This window comes from Homo sapiens, chromosome 10, assembly GCF_000001405.40.
Source record: "Homo sapiens chromosome 10, GRCh38.p14 Primary Assembly".
Classification (NCBI taxonomy): domain Eukaryota; kingdom Metazoa; phylum Chordata; class Mammalia; order Primates; family Hominidae; genus Homo; species Homo sapiens.
The window spans coordinates 65,566,653-65,584,494 of record NC_000010.11 but is presented as its reverse complement, the minus strand read 5'-3'; the positions used below and the strand labels follow the sequence as shown (position 1 = coordinate 65,584,494).

Sequence of the window (17,842 nt, the reverse complement as noted above, 5' to 3'; positions counted from 1 at the left end):
TTTAAAATTGTGAAAGATTCAGTTTAATATCAGAGCACTATCATTTTGGGTACAGGCTACAACCAAGAGAACCAAAGCCTAATAGAGCAGCTTAGGTTATATTTAGCTATGTTGACTGAACGTAGCATGTAGATTCTTGACATTGGGAATTATGAGTAGGCTTAAGTTGTATCCTTGACTCCAAGGTGAGCAAAGCAGTTGAAGCTCTCAGAGTTGTTTTATAGAAGCATTGGCCACATTTCCCAATGTATAAAGAGTTTTCAAGAGGAAGATACATGCCCCTGATGGCCACTGAAGAAAAGCATACTTTTTTTCTCCCCGACTAATGGTCCTGATTATTATGGGATAATACTATTATTTATTTATTAGAAATGTTACCAATAGAAAGGTTAATAAAATAATTGCAATATTATCGGATTATTATGGAATATGGTTGTTACTGTAATATGAGGAAACTGAATTTGTAAGGAATCAATGAATACATTATAATGCTAAATTTATGTTATTTTTAGCATAGACTATTCCTTTCTTTGGATTTGTGTTATCTCACTATCTTTACTAATTCCTTGGTGCTGGTAAATATTTAGTGTTCATTAAAATATCCTAAAATTCTGCATGCCAAGTTGATATCTGTCCTTTATAATCAACTTATTCTAAACAAGTCTGCAGCTTTTAGGGGAGCATTGTGGAGGCAGCAAAACTTTATTTTTCATGACTTGACTTTTGCATTTGTTATCTTTTTCCATAAACTCTGACAAAGCTGAACTATACTGTGAAATAGTCAAATACACTGCTGACGTGTTTGCTGAAGTTCCTAATCTTTTCTCTATTTTTTCTATTAGATCCTTAAAGTACCAGTTCATAAATACTTCCTCTCTCTGCAGCATTTTCTCAGGTGTATCTTTCCACAAAACTTTTTTCACTAAATATTAACAAATTATATCGTGAGAACCCATCCCCAATATTTCAACATAGGTTCTTTCTATTATCCCTAAGTGTCGGCCGGTCTGAGAAATAAAGAGAAAGAGTACAAAGAGAGGAATTTTACAGCTGGGCCTCCTGGGGTGACATCGCATATTGGTAGGATCATGATGCCCACCTGAGCTGCAAAACCAGCAGGTTTTTATTAAGGACTAAAAAAGGGGAGGGGCTGTACTAACAGGGAGTAGGTCACAAAGATCACATGCCTCAAAGGGTAAAAAGGAGAACAAAGATCACATGCTTCTGAGGCCAATAAAGATCACAAGGCAAATGGCAAAGTCAAAAACTCCTGATAAGGGTCTATGTTCAGCTGTGCACATATTGTCTTGATAAACATCTTAAACAACAGAAAACAGGGTTCAAGAGCAGAGAACCAGTCTGACCTCAAATTCACCAGGGTGGGGTTTCTTCCAAACCCTAATAAGCCTGAGGGTACTGCAGGAGACCAGGGCGTATTTGAGTCCCTATCTCAACCACATAAGACAGACACTTCCAGAGTGGTGGTTTATAGACCTCCCCCCAGGAATGCATTCCTTTCCCAGGGTCTTAATTATTAATATTCCTTGCTAGGAAAAGAATTTAGCGATATCTCTCCTACTTGCACGTCCATTTATAGGCTCTCTGCAAGAAGAAAAATATGGCTGTATTCTGCCTGACCCCGCAGGCAGTAAGACCTTATGGCTGTCTTCCCTTGTTCCCTAAAAATTGCTGTTATTCTGTTCTTTTTCAAGGTGCACTGATTTTGTATTGTTCAAACACACGTTTTACAATCAATTTGTACAGTTAACGCCATCATCACAGTGGACCTGAGGTGATGTACATCCTCAGCTTACGAAGATAGCAGGATTAAGAGATTAAAGTAAGAAAAGCATACGAAATTATAAAAGTATTAATTTTGGGAACTGATATATGTCCATATTAAAATGAAATCTTCACAATTTATGTTCCTCTGCTGCAGCTCCAGCGGGTCCCTCTGTTTGGGGTCCCTGACTTCCCACAACAAAATTATTTATTAGAAATGTTACTAATAGAAGGGTTAATAAAATAACTGCAAAGAATTTTATTCAGAAATTTATATCTATCTCTACAATGCCAGTAAGTCTCTTCTGGAAATTTTGTAAGCATTTTTTTATATAGGTTTTACCTTGTTTCAGTTTACAAATATTGTTGTTTCACTCTTTAAATGTGAAGTTGTGTCTTCCATTTACGTTTTATTTAACAATAGCTTTAACTTAATTCATTTTTAAATTGTCAAAACATTTATTTTTAAACTTATTGAAATAGCAGCAGAATTTTCATAAATTTGTGGCTTTGTTTGCTACTGTTGAGATAGTTACAGTGTATTACAACATTTCAAGTTAGAAAATCTGAGCTTAAATTCTGCTTCTTCAGCTTACTATTTCTGTGGAGGTGAACCTCTAACCTTCTATATTCCATTCTTCTTTATACAAAAACTAAGAATATCATAGTAACAGTTTAAGCATTAAATTATTTTGACATATGATTTTTTTTAGTGCTGCTTTGCCAGCCAGAGACCTCTGCAGCTGGCAACACCCCCACCTGGGCTCTGCTTGGTCCTGGGCTCCTGGGTGGAGGTACCTGGACCATTCAGCCATGTGGGCTGCACTTGGCATGCACCCCAGCCAGATCCCGTGCTCAGCCTGCAGCTAGGCCAGGTGTACCCTTGCCCAGCTGTGTTACAGATTGTTCAGTTCTTCTGCCTCGCTCAGGCCCATGGCTCTGGGGCTGACCCAGCCCCACTGCTGCTTCTTGTTGTGTGGGATGGCTGCCCAGCGCTAATGGAGGGCAAAGGGCCACAGTGTTACATTCTTTCTTATACCTGCATTTGGTGCATCCTGAATTCTTGTCCCGTGTCCAAGAAGAATGAGGTTATGCTGACAACTGAAGGGTGACAAGTACAGAGAAGAGTTTTATTGAGGGACAGAACAGCTCTCAGCATAGAGGGGACTCGAAATGGGGTGGTCCATCACCCAAAGGCAGGTAGTCCTCCCACCACCCAAATGCAGGTAGTCCCAACATGTGGCTGAATCTGGGGCTTTTATGGACTCAGAATGGGGGAGTGCATGCTGAATAGTTTGTGAGTATGCCAAAAAAGGTTAAAAGAAAGGCACCTCTTAAAGGTGGGCATGACAGTGTAAAAAACCAATTAGAGAAGAGTGGGTATTTGTAAAATAGGTGAAGGATGGAGATCAATCAGAGGAAAGTGCACCAAATGGGAAGAGAGGTTCTCAATCCAGTCCGTGGACTTATCCGGGACTTGTAGCCAGGCTTCAAATTGTCTTCAGCTTGAAGGTTGGGTTTCACTGGGGACCTGCCCCTGTCTGCCTAGGATTTGTCTGTCTCCTGCTACTATTGATTTTACATATGAAGCATTTAAGCCTTTTGAATTTTATTCAAAATTCATTTATTTATCCATTCCTTCATTCTTTTATTCATTCACCTATTCATGTATACTGTGATAATGCAGAATGTTCACCTGAGCAAATTGCTTTCTGGCAATAAGTTTAGATAATACAAGCACATTTAATATTTCATCTCAACACCAAAAATCCAACATTTTCAAAGTCCAGAAAATCTAACAATTTCAAAGCCCAGAATAAAATGCTGAAAAGGTATAGTGATTAAGTGTGGAAAGAGCACAGAACTTAAAACAGCTGTCTGGAATATCTGTTGCCTTCATTCTGCATCATGTATCGAAGACTGAAATTAGGAAACCACCCCGTAAAGATGGGACAGATTTGCACAGGAATAGTTATGGCTCCTATTATGTTGTTCCCATTCACTCAGCAGTAAACAACATTCTTGATCATTTTCTCTTTAAACACTGTCCTCTTGTGATACATCACTCCCTTGATTTTTGTCTTCTTTTATCTTTTATTTTTTTTTGAGGCAGGATCTAGCTGTTGCCCAGGCTAGAGTGCAACAACACAACAATGGCTCACCGCAGCCTCAACCTCCTGGGCTCAAGCAATTCTACCTCCTCAGCCTCCCACGCAGCTGGAACCAAAGGCATGTAGCACCCCACCTGGCTAATTTAAAACAAAAATGTAGCAGTGGGGGTCTTGCTAGGTTGCTGTGGCTGGTCACAAACTCCTGGGCTCAAGCAATCCTCCTGCCTTGGCCTCCCAAAGTGCTGGGATTATAAGCATGAGCCACTTCACCTGGCCCAACTTTTGCCTTCTTCTATGCTATCTCTTGCCAGTTCTAAATTCTCTCCCGAAGTATTCCAAGTCCTTTACTTGTCTACAGCTTCCTTTTCATCTTACACAGATACCCAAATAGTCATCTCAAACTAAACATGTCCAAAATAGAGCTATTAATGTCTCCTGTCTTCTCATTCTCCCCTGTCCATTGTGTCCCCTCAGATTGTTTAATTCTTTTGTGCTTCTCCTCTCGGTAATTAGTAATATACCCACAGTTGCAAAAACAAATACTAAGATGCAGCCTTGATTTATGCCTTTTCCTAATTCTTACTACAATAAATCCATCATCAAGTTCTTTCTACTTTACATTAAATATGCAAATGTAATATGTGCACACATACCACCTCTGTCCTTTTGTCTCTGTTTCCATTATTGTCATCCTTGTTCAGGCTGTCATCATCTCTCCCCTGAAATATGTGATAGCCTGTAACTGGTTTTCCTGGTTGCATACTTACCCTCTACATTACAACATCAAGACTAATCCTTATAAAATACGTATTGGATAATATCACTCCCCTGCTTAAAACAATAAAAGTCAAACTACTTACCTATTGTCAGATAATAACCCATGTAAAGCACTTAGCATAGTGTCTTACACATCATAGGCCTTAAATAAATATTAGTTCTCTCTTCTCTCCCTCTTTTCTGTACACTTTTATCTTTCCACATGGCCATTTGTTAGATCTAAAATGTTCTTTAAAATTTTTATTAGATGTTTTCTTAGTGCAGCTTTACCTGAATTTCTTGCTGATTTTGTCCAAAGGAGTTATTAATTCCTCTATTTCTATGCTACCACAGCTGGATGCCTGGACTTCTGTTATAGACCTACTGGCAATGATTTGCAATTTAAAACAGGAATGTTAAATATAAATGATGACATATATGTGATTTCCTTAAGAGCAAATCCATGTTTGACCTATTTTTGCACCTTCAGTATATGTGACATATAGTAGGTATTCACTAAAAGCTTCTTTAAATGACTAAAACACTTTACGAACCTAGTAGTACAATGGAATCATTTGTTTTCTTAAGTAGGTCATAGACAACATAGGAAAAGGTATATAAAACTAGAGAGAAAAGAGTGGGAATAGACAGTCACAAAGTAACTATTCCATAGAGCATGAAAATTCAACTTTAAAAGAAGGTGAAGGAATTATCAGAATGTTGGGAGTATGCTTAATACTTGTTTAAATCAAATTTAAAAACTCAAGATATTTTTTAAACATAAGCTAGGCACAGAAAGCCAAATATTATATTATCTCTTTAATGGAAGAGGTTTAAGTGGAATCTAAAAACATAAAACTCATAGAAACAGAGAGTAAAATGCTTGTTGCCAAAGGCTGGGGGCTGGAAGAACTGGGGAGATGTTGCTTAGAGGACACATTTCAGTTAGACAGGAGGAACAAGTTCAAGTGATGTATTGTACTTCATGGTGACTGCAGTTAATAACAATATATTGTATTCTTGGAAATTGCTGAAAGTGTAGATGTCAAGTGTTCATACCACAAAAATATATGACATAATGTATACATTAAATAGCTTGATTTAGCCATTTCACAACATATACATCTATTAAGGTATATGTTGTACCCCATAAATATATATAAATTGTATTTGTCAATTAAAAATAAAGATATGTAAATAGAGAAAATACAAATAGGCAGAGATAGCTATTAAAATAAACCTTTTGATAATAACAATTTCAAATTCATGGTTAAATATGTAAAACACAGACTTTGGGGGCAGGCAATCTGTACTTGATATCTGAGTGTTATCATTATGGAGCCAGTTTTATTTGACTTCAGCACTTAATTTACTTGAGATCTGAAAGTTCTGAAGAACTTATACAGATAATATAAGCAAAACGAGGTCTAGTATTTAAGAAAACTCTTTAAGAAATGTTTCTGTTGTTGCATTCTACAAATAATTTTTATTTATATTACATTACCTTAGAGACTGCCATCAGAAAGAACTTTTCTCTAAGAATGATGGAATGTTAAAAGCCCCCAAAAGGCAGTTAAAATAATCAGTTGAAACCTTACGTATCTCCAAAGTAAATAAATATTTATACTTAGTAAACTTAAATATAATCTTATTTTAGAAAACATTTATATTTAAATGTGTATATAACATGTACAATATAATAAGGTATAGATATGCCATGGCAATTCTTCTATCTATAGTAGGTTATTATTAAGCAATTTTACAGCATAGGGCATGTCATGTTTCTATACTAAAAATAATATAGCAGTACTCATTTTACATATGTCTTTGCTCAAAAATTCAATTTATTTAGAATAAATGGCTTAAAGGTTAATTTTTCAAGAATTCTTTTATTGTTTAAAATTTTGGTTAAATATCTAGAGGTATATATTTCTATACCACAGAATAACTGATAATAATATATATATACAAGAAAGTTTTGCCCTAATAAATGACCTAGTAATACAATATATGGTATAACTTTGGAGGGGAAAATTTAAGATTTTTATTTTCCTATTATGGATTTAGACACATCTTAATTAAATCAATACATTATATTATATCAATTAAGACACATCTTAATTAAATCAATACAACATTAAAATTATAATATTTGATTTCAGAATACTTATTTTTGATTACTTAATTATCAAGAATTAGGTATAGATGTCTTTTTTTTATATGTTTCATGTAAAAAAAGACGAAAAAAATTTATTTTATATTTTGCCACTATTGTTTTTAACAAATCATAATACTTAAAATGTTTGTGTCCATTTTATAATGTGGTTTTGATTGCACTTCTTATAGAATTCAAATAAATATATTTGGTTTTTATTAAATTTGAGGATCACTTTCTCTTAATGAAGAACTTAGTATTCAGAACTGTAATTCTTTTTTTTCTATATTTTGCTTTCTTTTGGTTTTTTTCTTTCCCTGTCTTTTATTTGATGAAATATATCTCCCTCCCCTGTTTTTTAGAGTTTTTGTAATTTTGGTTTGTTTCACTACTCTTTGTTAAGCTATGCATTCTCTTTCTAATTATTCTACTTGTTAAATTTTTATTAAAAACAAAAATAGCAATGACATATTTTACATATTTATCTAATTATAAGCTCAAAGCATGAAATAGTATTGACTTCCACATACATATGTTTGTGTACGTGTATATTATGAATAAATTAGTTCATCTCAAATATGAAACTTTAACATCTTTACCATTTTTTTGGAATAGTCTAGGATTTTAGACACTTCTTAATTTTGTTTTACCTTTTATGTCACATATTCTTCATTAATAGTTATTAATATGTTGTATTTTCTAGCTGTTCTTGCAAAAAGTAGTTTTATTTTATGTTTCAACAGTCTCAGCGTCAACTGTGACACTTTCTGTGTTTGGCTTTCTTGTTTTGGAATTGTTTATCTTGATGTGCATCCCATTGCACATTGTTATGTTTCTCAAAAGATTATTTAAATGTTATGTGTTTTTATGATCACTCGTTTTTTGCTTCATGCATGCATTATTGCCTTAAACATTAAAAAATACTTGTTTTGATGTGCTTTTTATCTTTATATGTGAAAAATCTTTGCTGGCTAATATGTCTTTTGTCACAATTGTTTCCTCCTTAATTCTCTTAACGAATTAAGAGATTATTTCATTTTCTTCTGTCATTTTATGTGGTACAATACATCTGAATCTGTCCTCATTTTTCTTACATAGGTTTTTCATTTTCTTTTTCTGCTTGAAATTGCCAACATATATCTAAATGTTGACCTACTTAGTATTATACTGACTTTGGTATTTCTTTATCTTTTTATATAGTTATCTTTACATTTTCAAATTAACTTGTTCCTAAGGCTGAAAGAAATAAGAATGAATGTTGCTTCTTTTTTTCCTTTTCTGATTCCTACATCAAGAACACCAATCATATCTTTGTTGGCTTTCTGGTATCTTCTCTCCATAATCATTCATTAATATGACTATTTTTATCTATTTATTGTTTCCTCCTGTACTTTTGCAAATGTTAACAAGCTTGCTCTCCTCTCCCTTTGTTGAAACTGGGTACTATAATTTTTTTCATTTTACGAAATTATACAATTTCATTACGTTAAGATAATACTGGTGTTGCTCTAATTGTTAATTTACAATGGTATTTTATTTCTGACATTATTTTTATTTTTCAACATCGTTTTTATTTTTTCTATCAACCATCTTCCTATTCATCAGCTTTTGTATTACATGTCTTTCTTTTTCTATACTGTAAAACTTTAATTCTTGATTTTTTAAATATAAAATGATATCCTCTGAAATTCGTTTAATTTCTTGCCATTATTATATTTTTAGATTTGTTATTCTTTTACCTGTTGTCATATATATACTTTCCTGTCTTTGTGCCACATAAATCACAAATAAATTTAATGATTATATGTATATATATAAAAAAGCTTTGAAAAATATTTAAACATTTTTTGAAGGCCATATAATTTTATTAACAATAACACATAAAAAGATAGTATACTGCTGTGTTAAAAATTAACACAATATAAATATATTACTAAGAACTATAGCTTAAACATAAAACAACTTAGAAAAAAATTTAGAGAATTGGAATTTTGTAGATTCAGATTCATACCATGGCTCTACAACTAACTAGCTGTGTGTGATAAAGTTAATCGCTCTGTGACTTCCTCACTTTCATTATCTTTAAAATAAATATAGTGAATTTATAAATAAATTATTTAAAATAAATATAGTAAAATAAACATAGTAATTTTTATATTATACTTATAAAGATTTATAATAATATAAACAAATTTAGAGAAATGCCTCGCTCCTAGTAAATTCTAAATCAATAGTAGATATAACAATTATTTTGTTAAAAAGTATTGAAAATGAATTAATTAATCCTGAAGTCTCAACTACCACATATTTATTTTTTTGTTGTCCTATAGTTTCACTTTTTATTATTTTCTCTTCTTAATTTAATTAGATTCTTTCCAAATTTTTTGTATTTCTTAATATTATGACTTCTGTTAAACTTTGCATGTAAAACAAACTCATTATATACATATTCTTATTTCCATGCAGTTAAAAATATGCCCCTATAAAACCATTGGTTTATAAGACAGATGAATACAAAATGGGGGGAAACCACTGGTTAAAAAAATCATCTAATTTTTCCAAGCTTAGTAACATATGAACCAAGAGCAGATGGGGAGAGAATTTTGTATCCCTCCCTTTACTGACTAAATTTGCATCTTCAGTAAAACCTAAGTTTTTTTTTTTTTAGCAAAGTCTTCAACAATACCCCCTACCCTCTACCTCCCAACCCATGCCAGATACTGTATTGTACCTGACAGCTGCTTGTGATAGTGCATGCAACCTTTCCTGGGTAATTAAAGAATACAAGCTTTAACCCTTACCCTATATAGACTCAATAGTATCAGAATAGCTCTGATGAATGGGACCAGATACTAACTTGTTCAAGAAAGGAAGGAGTTCCTTGGTAAAGAAAGGAAAACAGGGCTCTAGAAGGAAGAACTAATAATGCATCAGAGGATGAGTTTGGAGTGAAGGCTTGGATAAAACTTGACACTCACATCATGGGAAAAGTGGAGAATGGGACTGGTCTCAAGTGTAGCATATGGCACAGACAGAAACTTCAAACTAACTTCTCTAGGTCTGTGGGTGTGTATAAGAATAATGGCTGCTGGCCAGGCATGGTGACTCATGCCTGTAATCCCAGCACTTTGGGAGGCCAAGGCAGGTGGATCACTTGAGATCAGGAGTTCGAGACCAGCCTGGCCAACATGGTGAAACCCCATCTCTACTAAAAATACAAAAAATTAGCCAGGCGTGGTGGCAGCCACCTGTAATCCCAGGTAATCAGGAGGCTGAGGCAGGAGAATCACTTGAACCTGGGAGGTTGCGGTGAGCAGAGTTCACGCCATTGCACTCCAGCCTGGACAACAAGAGTGAAACTCCGTTTCAAAAAAAAACAAAAAAAAAGCAAGAAAGAATGGCTGTCTAGATGAAATAAAGAGCAGAAGCATTGGGAACTTGGGCCCTCAGTGATGTGGGATTACTATAGGAGGAGTATGTTACCCTGGCAGAAGAGAATGCCTCCCTTTCTCACATCCCTTTTGCTTCTCTCAGGGAAGGTGTGGAAAAGGTTTTCTCCCATCTCCCAGAGATGTATTTTTTGAAAAATTTCATCCCCTCAGCAGGCTTCAGAGAATAGCTTTTTGCTTTAGCTTTACTGCTGGTAATGATAAAGATGTTTCAGTTCTCTCTCTGAGAGGTGCTTGAAATGAGAGATACTGAGCAGATAATGGTACTGATCCTCCTTCTGGAAATGAATTGGCAATGATCTGGATGTGGCACAAGATACAAGCTGAGGGTATCTCATAAATCAACAGCTAATCTTCAGTTTGATGGTGTAAGCGGAGAGACTCATTAATTAAAAAACAGCCTCTAATGCTGCTTGTAGTTTCTCCATTTTTAAGTCAATGCATATAAATCCCAGTGTCAATAAAGAGGCGGAACTGATCAATCAGAAAAGAAATATAGAAGTAAGAATTGTAATGAGACTATCTACCCTTTGATGGGTGACACTGAGGGAAGAGGAGGGCAATTGCACAGTAGCAAGATGAGGAATCAAGAGTTACAGCAATTGAATTTATTGAGATAAAAAATACTAATATCTAACATATATTACCAGCATTTCATCATCATCCTAAGTCTTTTGTTTTTATGTAATAATTTTTAATCCTCTTTCACCTCTCATTTTAAAGATGAGAACAAGAAGACATAAAGAGTGTCACCAAGGTCTTGGCAAGTTTGCCAAAGTCTCATATCTCCTAATCTGCAAAACTGCAATTTGTGCAAAGAAAATTTGGTTTCTGAACTTGGGTTTTTAACCACTGTTACAGACTGAACTGTGCCCCTTCAAAATCCTATGTTGAAATCCTAACTCCCAGTGCTTCAGAATGTGACTGTATTTGGAGATAGGATATTTAAAATGGTAAAATAAGATCATTAGAGTTGGTCATAATCCAATACGTCTTGTGTTCTTATAAGAAAATGCAATAAGAACATAGACATGCAGAGAGTTAATGTAATAATTGGTATTTATTATTATTATTATTGCTATAATAATTATTAAACAACGAAAAGAGTGAGAAAAGAATTCCGCCATTGAAAATGGACTCTTACTGCACTGATGCAAACAACTATATTGTCATAAAAATACTCACTGATAGTTTCCAATTTCTAGAGGAACCAGGCAGAGAGAAACAAATATGCTCCAAGTCTTGATCACAGGAGTATACCTTACTTAATTATTAAAGGCCATAAATAGTTCAAAGTTTCTTTGACTCTGAAAAACAAAACACGGATCAGCAATATTCCAAGCAAAGGTTAAAAAGATTTGTTCAGTTTCTTTTCTTTTTTTTTTTTTTTTTTTTGAGATGGAGTTTCGCTCTTGTCACCCAGGCTGGAGTGCAATGGCTCAATCTTGCTCACTGTAACCTCTGCTTCCTGGGTACAAGTGATTCTCCTGCCTTAGCCTCCCAAGTAGCTTGGATTACAGGCATGTGCCACCATGCCCGGCTAATTTTTTTTTTTTTAATTTAGTAGAAACAAGGTTTTGCCATGTTGGTCAGGCTGGTCTTGATCTCCTGACCTCAGGTGATCCACCTGCCTTGGCCTCCCAAAGTGCTGGGATTTCAAGTGTGAGCCACCGCTCCCAGCCTGGTTTCAGTTTCCTGAGTTCAGTCCATTTAGTTAACTCTTGTTTTGTTTGATATTTGTGAGCATTTCAGCTCCTTATGAGTCCTGTATATTTTTCTTTATTTTAATGTTACAATTTCCAAAGTTACCAGAAGCCTGTGTTTGAGAGCACCTGTTAAAGTTCTATAGCTCATTATAAACCATCTTTGAGAAGGATTAAACAAGGCAACAACTGTCTGTGAATAGCAAAATGTCCAGGGTACTTACAGTTAGAAACACGATTGACAAAGAAGCTTGGTTATCTCCGTGGTTTACAATAACTTAACATAACGACCTTAATTATGACTGATAGCATATATTCAGCCATTAGAATTCTAGAAATCTCATACAATTTTGGAACATGTATTAGGATTATTCACCCAGATACAACCTAAAGAAGACTGAGCATAATTTTTGCAATCCCATGTACCTAAACATGTCAAATAATCCTGTTTACCTCTCTTCTCTGGACACTTCAGGGGCCCTCTGACATATTTGAAAAGCCAGGTGCCAGGGAAGACAATTTTGAAACTGAGGTTTGATTTTGGGAAGGCTGTTAAATGTTTGAGGTTTAAATAACTTGATATTATGAAATAGAATTCCAGGTTACCAAAAGTTATTTATTTTGCCAAAATCATGACTCAGAAATTTTAAAGAAGCAAAAACCTGTTATAACCCTTTACAAATGTGCCAAAGAGCAGATTAGCACCTTAGGAAAATCTTGTTATGCTTTTATTTCAATTTACAGAAAAACCAAACAATACCCTTTTCTGAATTTAGTCAATATGTTCACATAGAATCTCTTCTGCAAGATTAATTTCCACAGTTCTCCCACCACTTCTTTGAACCTTCAGCTTTTTCCTAATTTAACTCAAACAATCCTTTAACCCTAGGCAAAAGTTTACATTTCCATGCCTTCTTATAACCTTTTATTAAAAAACACATTTTACTGTTCTTACTCACCTTGCATGTAAATATATTTCTAGTAGTTTCAACTCCTAGCAATTTTGAACTTTAAGGTAAAACTTGGAGAGTTGCTTTAATTGTGTGCTAACTGCAACTAAGGTGTGCCTTCTTAGTTAGGGGCGTGGTTAGTTCCATATGCCGTGAGTGAGGCCCTTTAAGAGACAGGGGACATGCAGATATTGAATTAGAGAGGGCTCATCCCCTAAGGCAGGATTGCTAAACAAATCCTTGCCGCCAGAGTTATAAGCCATGGCCTCAGGATGTAAAACAAAATAGAGGATTTATTTCACAAGCAAAACTTTGCAGAGCATACAGTGATAGCTGGGGAGCAGAGGGAGTGGCCTAGTAAAGTGTCTTCTAAAAAAAAACAAACAAACAAACAAAAAAAAAACTTTAAGGGTTTACTTGTTGAGGAGGTGGAAAAGGGGAGTGAAAAAAGGTTTAAAAATGCCTGGGGAAGAACTTCTTATTCGTCTGCAAGTGATTTCAACAGCAGGGTTAAAGCTTAATTACTCTCTGATAAAGTTTAACCCCCTGGCAGGGGAAAAGGAAGGCTGCGGTGGCTTGTGTCTGAGAACCATCTAGCCAGCTGTGTGGGACCCTTGGGCCATGCATCCCGTCCCGGGCACAGAGGGGAGGGGGAGTGAGGAGCCCCGGCTTTCCTGTCTGTCCTGAAAAAGGAAGGAAAAGGCCTTTCCCCCGACGACCCCCAACGGAGCAACGGAGTTTGGGGTCGTGTTTCCCCCACCCTCAGTAGTCTGAGGATGAAAATGCTTAGGATCAACAGTGAGAGGTTTTGAGTCCCCATTTCACTCACTGTTTCTTGAGCTCCCCTGTTGCGCGCCAAAAAGCAGGACTTTCCCTTAGTTCAGCTAAAGACTGGGTCCTTGTCCATTCCACGACCACGACAATTTAGGCTCATAGATGGTTTGAAGGGTGAGTAAAGCAGGGTTTTGTTGGGTGAAAAGGAAGGAAAAGGGGAAACAGGGACCCTCAGCAAGGCCAGAGGCCCCTGCTAGCGTGCTTCCTACCCAGCCGTTTGAATTCCAGGTTCCACACAGGAAGAGGAGGAGTCGGACTCCTGGCTGCTGCAAAGGGCACCAACTTCTGTATTTTCACTCCAGTGCGCATTCCCAGTGCGCAGGCTGGTTGGAGATTCTCCAGGGACCCCCTCCCACCTGGCTGTCTCACTTTCCGTTCTTGACATCAGACATATTGAAATTCTCTGGGGACCTATGTGAAAAGTGAAGTTAATTGCAATGAGAGAACTGGAGTTTGGGAGCTAATCTGATTGGAGGCTGGCCACTGCAGGTGATCACATCCAGGCAATTGCTGTTTAATTAAGGCAATGCGATTAATCACAGATGTCACTCACTGGTAGCAACAGATGACACTGTACAACATTCCACCTATGAAATAAACATAAAGTAACGTTTGGAAAGACAGAAACTGAGTTAGGTCTGAGATTCTCCTTTAATGTTTTAATCTGTCGGGTTTTATTTGAATTCTAAGGATACGTGAAGCTTTATTCTTCTTACCTTCTTGAATATGCCCTCAAAACTATGTCATTAATTTTGAGTTCTTGTTTTAGTTTTTAAATGGAAACTTTCACAAATAAACATTGCAACTTTTTTGCCTTTTTTAGGTATAATATAAATTTAATAAACTACTCAGATTTAAGCTTGATGAATTTTGGCAATTGTACACACCCATTTAACTACCACTCTAAACGAGATATAGAATTGTGCTGTCCAGTATAGTTCCCACTAGTCACATGTGGCTATTTAATCTTAACATTTATTTAATTAAAGTTAAATACAATTTAAAATTTACTTTCTTAATCACACAAGCCATATTTCAAGTTCTTAACAGCTCCTTGTTGGTGGTAATAGCCGCTGACATATAGCTATTGGACATACTGGATAGCACATATTTAGAACTATGTAGAAAGTGATAGAAATGTCTTTGTAAAAATTAATAGCCAGCAACATTAGAAAGTGGCTTCTTTTACTCATAATAATTTTTAAATCTATCCATAATATTGCATGCATTCCTATTTTTTTTTCCTTTTTGCTACTGTGTAGCTTTCCATTTCATTGTTATGCCATAATTTGTTTAGCAGTTCTTGACTTGGGATAAAAAGCTGAGTTAAAAATAAAAAAATAAGAATAAAAGTAAATTTTTAAAAATTTTGCTGTTCATGGAAGTTTGGAGTACTCTACTTTTAGCTATTAGGAATTAGGCTATCATGATACTTTGTAAAATTCATTTTGTGAACATATGTTTGTTTTATTTCTCTTGAGAAAACACCTAGGGGTGGGATTGCTTAACCACGGAATAAGTGTAAATTTATATTTATAAGAAACTCTCACAGGAAAAGAAATGTGTAAGAATATTATTCAGCAGTAAAATACTATTTCACATCCAAAAGAATGTTGGGGGGTACTGACAATACAAAATGTTGGTGAAGATGTAAAACAGATATGAATCTCATACGTTGCTGGTGGGAGGGTAAAATGTTGTAGGTTCTTTGGACAACAATATCTTATTGTGGTTTTAATCTGCATTTTCCCATTGACTGAAGCTGTTAGACAGCTTTTCATGTGTTAATTGGGCATTCTTAGATCTTCTTTTGTGACATGTTCATTTATTTCTTTTGCACTTAAAACAATTAGTTATCTGACATTTAATAGACAATTTTTAGGAGTCCTTTTATGTATTTTAAGTATGCTTATTTTGTCTGATATGTTATTGCATATTCTTTTTCAAGATTTATATCTTAACCTATGTAAATTATAAGGCTAAATGTCTAGTTAGTTATAGGAAGGTGTGGAGCACCAGATTAGAATTTTTTTTAAGTAAACCGCAATGTATCAGAGAGTATGCTCTAAGTGCAATGAGTCCAAAAAATATCAAAGCCAAGAGAAGTAAATAGGGGGTCCTCTATCCAAGAAACTTTAAAAGCTATAGAAAAGAACACAAAGGAAAGAAAAAAACTCCAAAGCCTGTAATTATTTAAAGATTTAATTTCTTATAACTGTCTTTTTAACGTTTCTAAACTTGTATGGCAAACAATAGCATATATTTAGACAATGGAAAACATAAAATTCAATAATTGCTTTTTTTTATAAAATAAAATTGACCATTTACTATTTGGCATATTCAAATTATATAAATTATATAATAGATGCCATATTCAAGATGGCTGGCAATTTTAGCACAGAAAATAGAACAAAGACAACCAAATCTATGCTCTTATAATAATAATGATTTTTAAAAAGCCTCATATCTTTGGTTTCACTTATTTGTGTATAGAACTTCTAATTAGTAAAATTGCCAATATATTTTTATGAATCCTTTGGTTTTACCTTCTGGGTATCTAGAAAACATAGATTTCAAATGTATAAATGATATTTAAAATTCAATTCCAAATTTTTAAAATATTCAAAATATGATATTCAGAAGGTAATAGTATGTGCTTGCAAAATCTATTCATTTTCTCTTAACATTTTGGAGGCAAAATCTTTTACTTCTTCTATACAAAAAAACCCATAATTTTTAGTTTGGGCTGGGAGTCCCAATCTTTAACTTGGCTACATGTGGTCAAATTGCATGGCTCCCCAAACAGAAATGATTGTTATCCACCCCCACACAAAAACCCCACACATCCCAACAAACACACAACATGACATCAGAAAAATCTTTGGATTTTATCTAATATACATATTCAACATAATATACAATTCACCTGAAGCTGTTTATAAATATCTATTTGTCCCATATTCAAGTAAGAACACAGATGATTCAAGTATGCAGGTATAACAGTCAAATGTGTTCTCTCCAGTGTTATTTGCTGTTAAGTTTAAATGATATGCAAGGAAGAAGTCAGAGCTAACAATAAATCTTTACTTTCTACTCCTTTCTTATTCATCATGCACACAGACACATCTATAGACAACATAAAATCTGCACAGACACATCCACACAGTTACAAGCATTTATATAGACACACACACACATGCAAACACACACACTAATATAGCCATATATTCCTCAAGTAATATGATTTTTCTTAACTTTCCACATGCCCCCTAGTTGTTCTAGTCTACTAGGCAGTCATTATAAGAAATAATTATTCTATAGTTTGAACATGTAAGTATAGATATTCTTAGGCTAACAGATTACCATATTGCCTGATTTAAAAAAACAAAAACAAAACTCAGTCTCAAAAGTGAACAATGTCAGATGCCACTCTTGGTTTTGAATATTACTTTATCCTAGTTAGGGCCACGGATGCACATTTTTATTTCAACTTTAAGCTATGAAATGTAAAGTTGTTTACAAAAATATATGGGAGTTCTACTGTTTGAGTTATAAAGTAGACCTTGATCTGAAGAATAGAAAGAGATTTCTAACTGTGCTCTCCAGAAACTGAAAAGCCTGGTTGTATTAAGAGTGAGTGTTCTTTCTCTGGAAGTACTGAAGCAGAAACTGCACAGTCACTACTCCTAAACCTTTCTGAAGGCATCAATCCATGAGGCAGCCAGTTAAATGAGATGCCCTCTGAGGTTACTTCCAAACTGTAGTTTCTGTAATTCTACCAATTTCTCCTGATTTTAACATCTCAACAGTTTATCAGAGCGAAGTGTCTTCTAACATGATTGCTTTGCCTAATTATTTTTAGAACAGATGAAATTATATATACATAAACATTTTTTAAAAAGACATTAATAATTAGTTACTGTCTCTAATTATTTACATATGACTTTTCTAACTGAGACTAAAACTTTTTTTAGAATTGTGTACGTACGTTAAGAATATAGTTTTCAAGTTAAAGTAAGACAACTGACCAAATTATTTGAGAGCAAGTAGATATTCAAAGAAAGTTTAGATCTTTACAATTTCTTTTCAGATGGAAGAAATG

General features: G+C 34.6%; 1 long non-coding RNA gene across 1 annotated transcript in view, besides 1 other annotated feature; it reads right to left on the bottom strand.

Moving 5' to 3' along the window:
• The window catches only part of LINC01515 (long intergenic non-protein coding RNA 1515), a 195,117-nt gene extending 182,047 nt beyond the window's left edge, over positions 1-13,070 (bottom strand). The window contains exons 1-2 of the long non-coding RNA NR_120647.1: positions 12,916-13,070; positions 11,439-11,560 (exon numbers count right to left, since the gene is read on the bottom strand). This is a non-coding gene — a long non-coding RNA (long intergenic non-protein coding RNA 1515). The remainder of the gene's footprint in view (positions 1-11,438; positions 11,561-12,915) is intronic.
• Positions 17,357-17,557: a silencer, noted in NCBI's record as "peak984 fragment used in MPRA reporter construct". NCBI's record gives its function as "represses an SCP1 promoter by STARR-seq MPRAs in K562 erythroleukemia cells {active_cell/tissue: K562}" and the evidence as "EXISTENCE:reporter gene assay evidence [ECO:0000049][PMID:32103011]".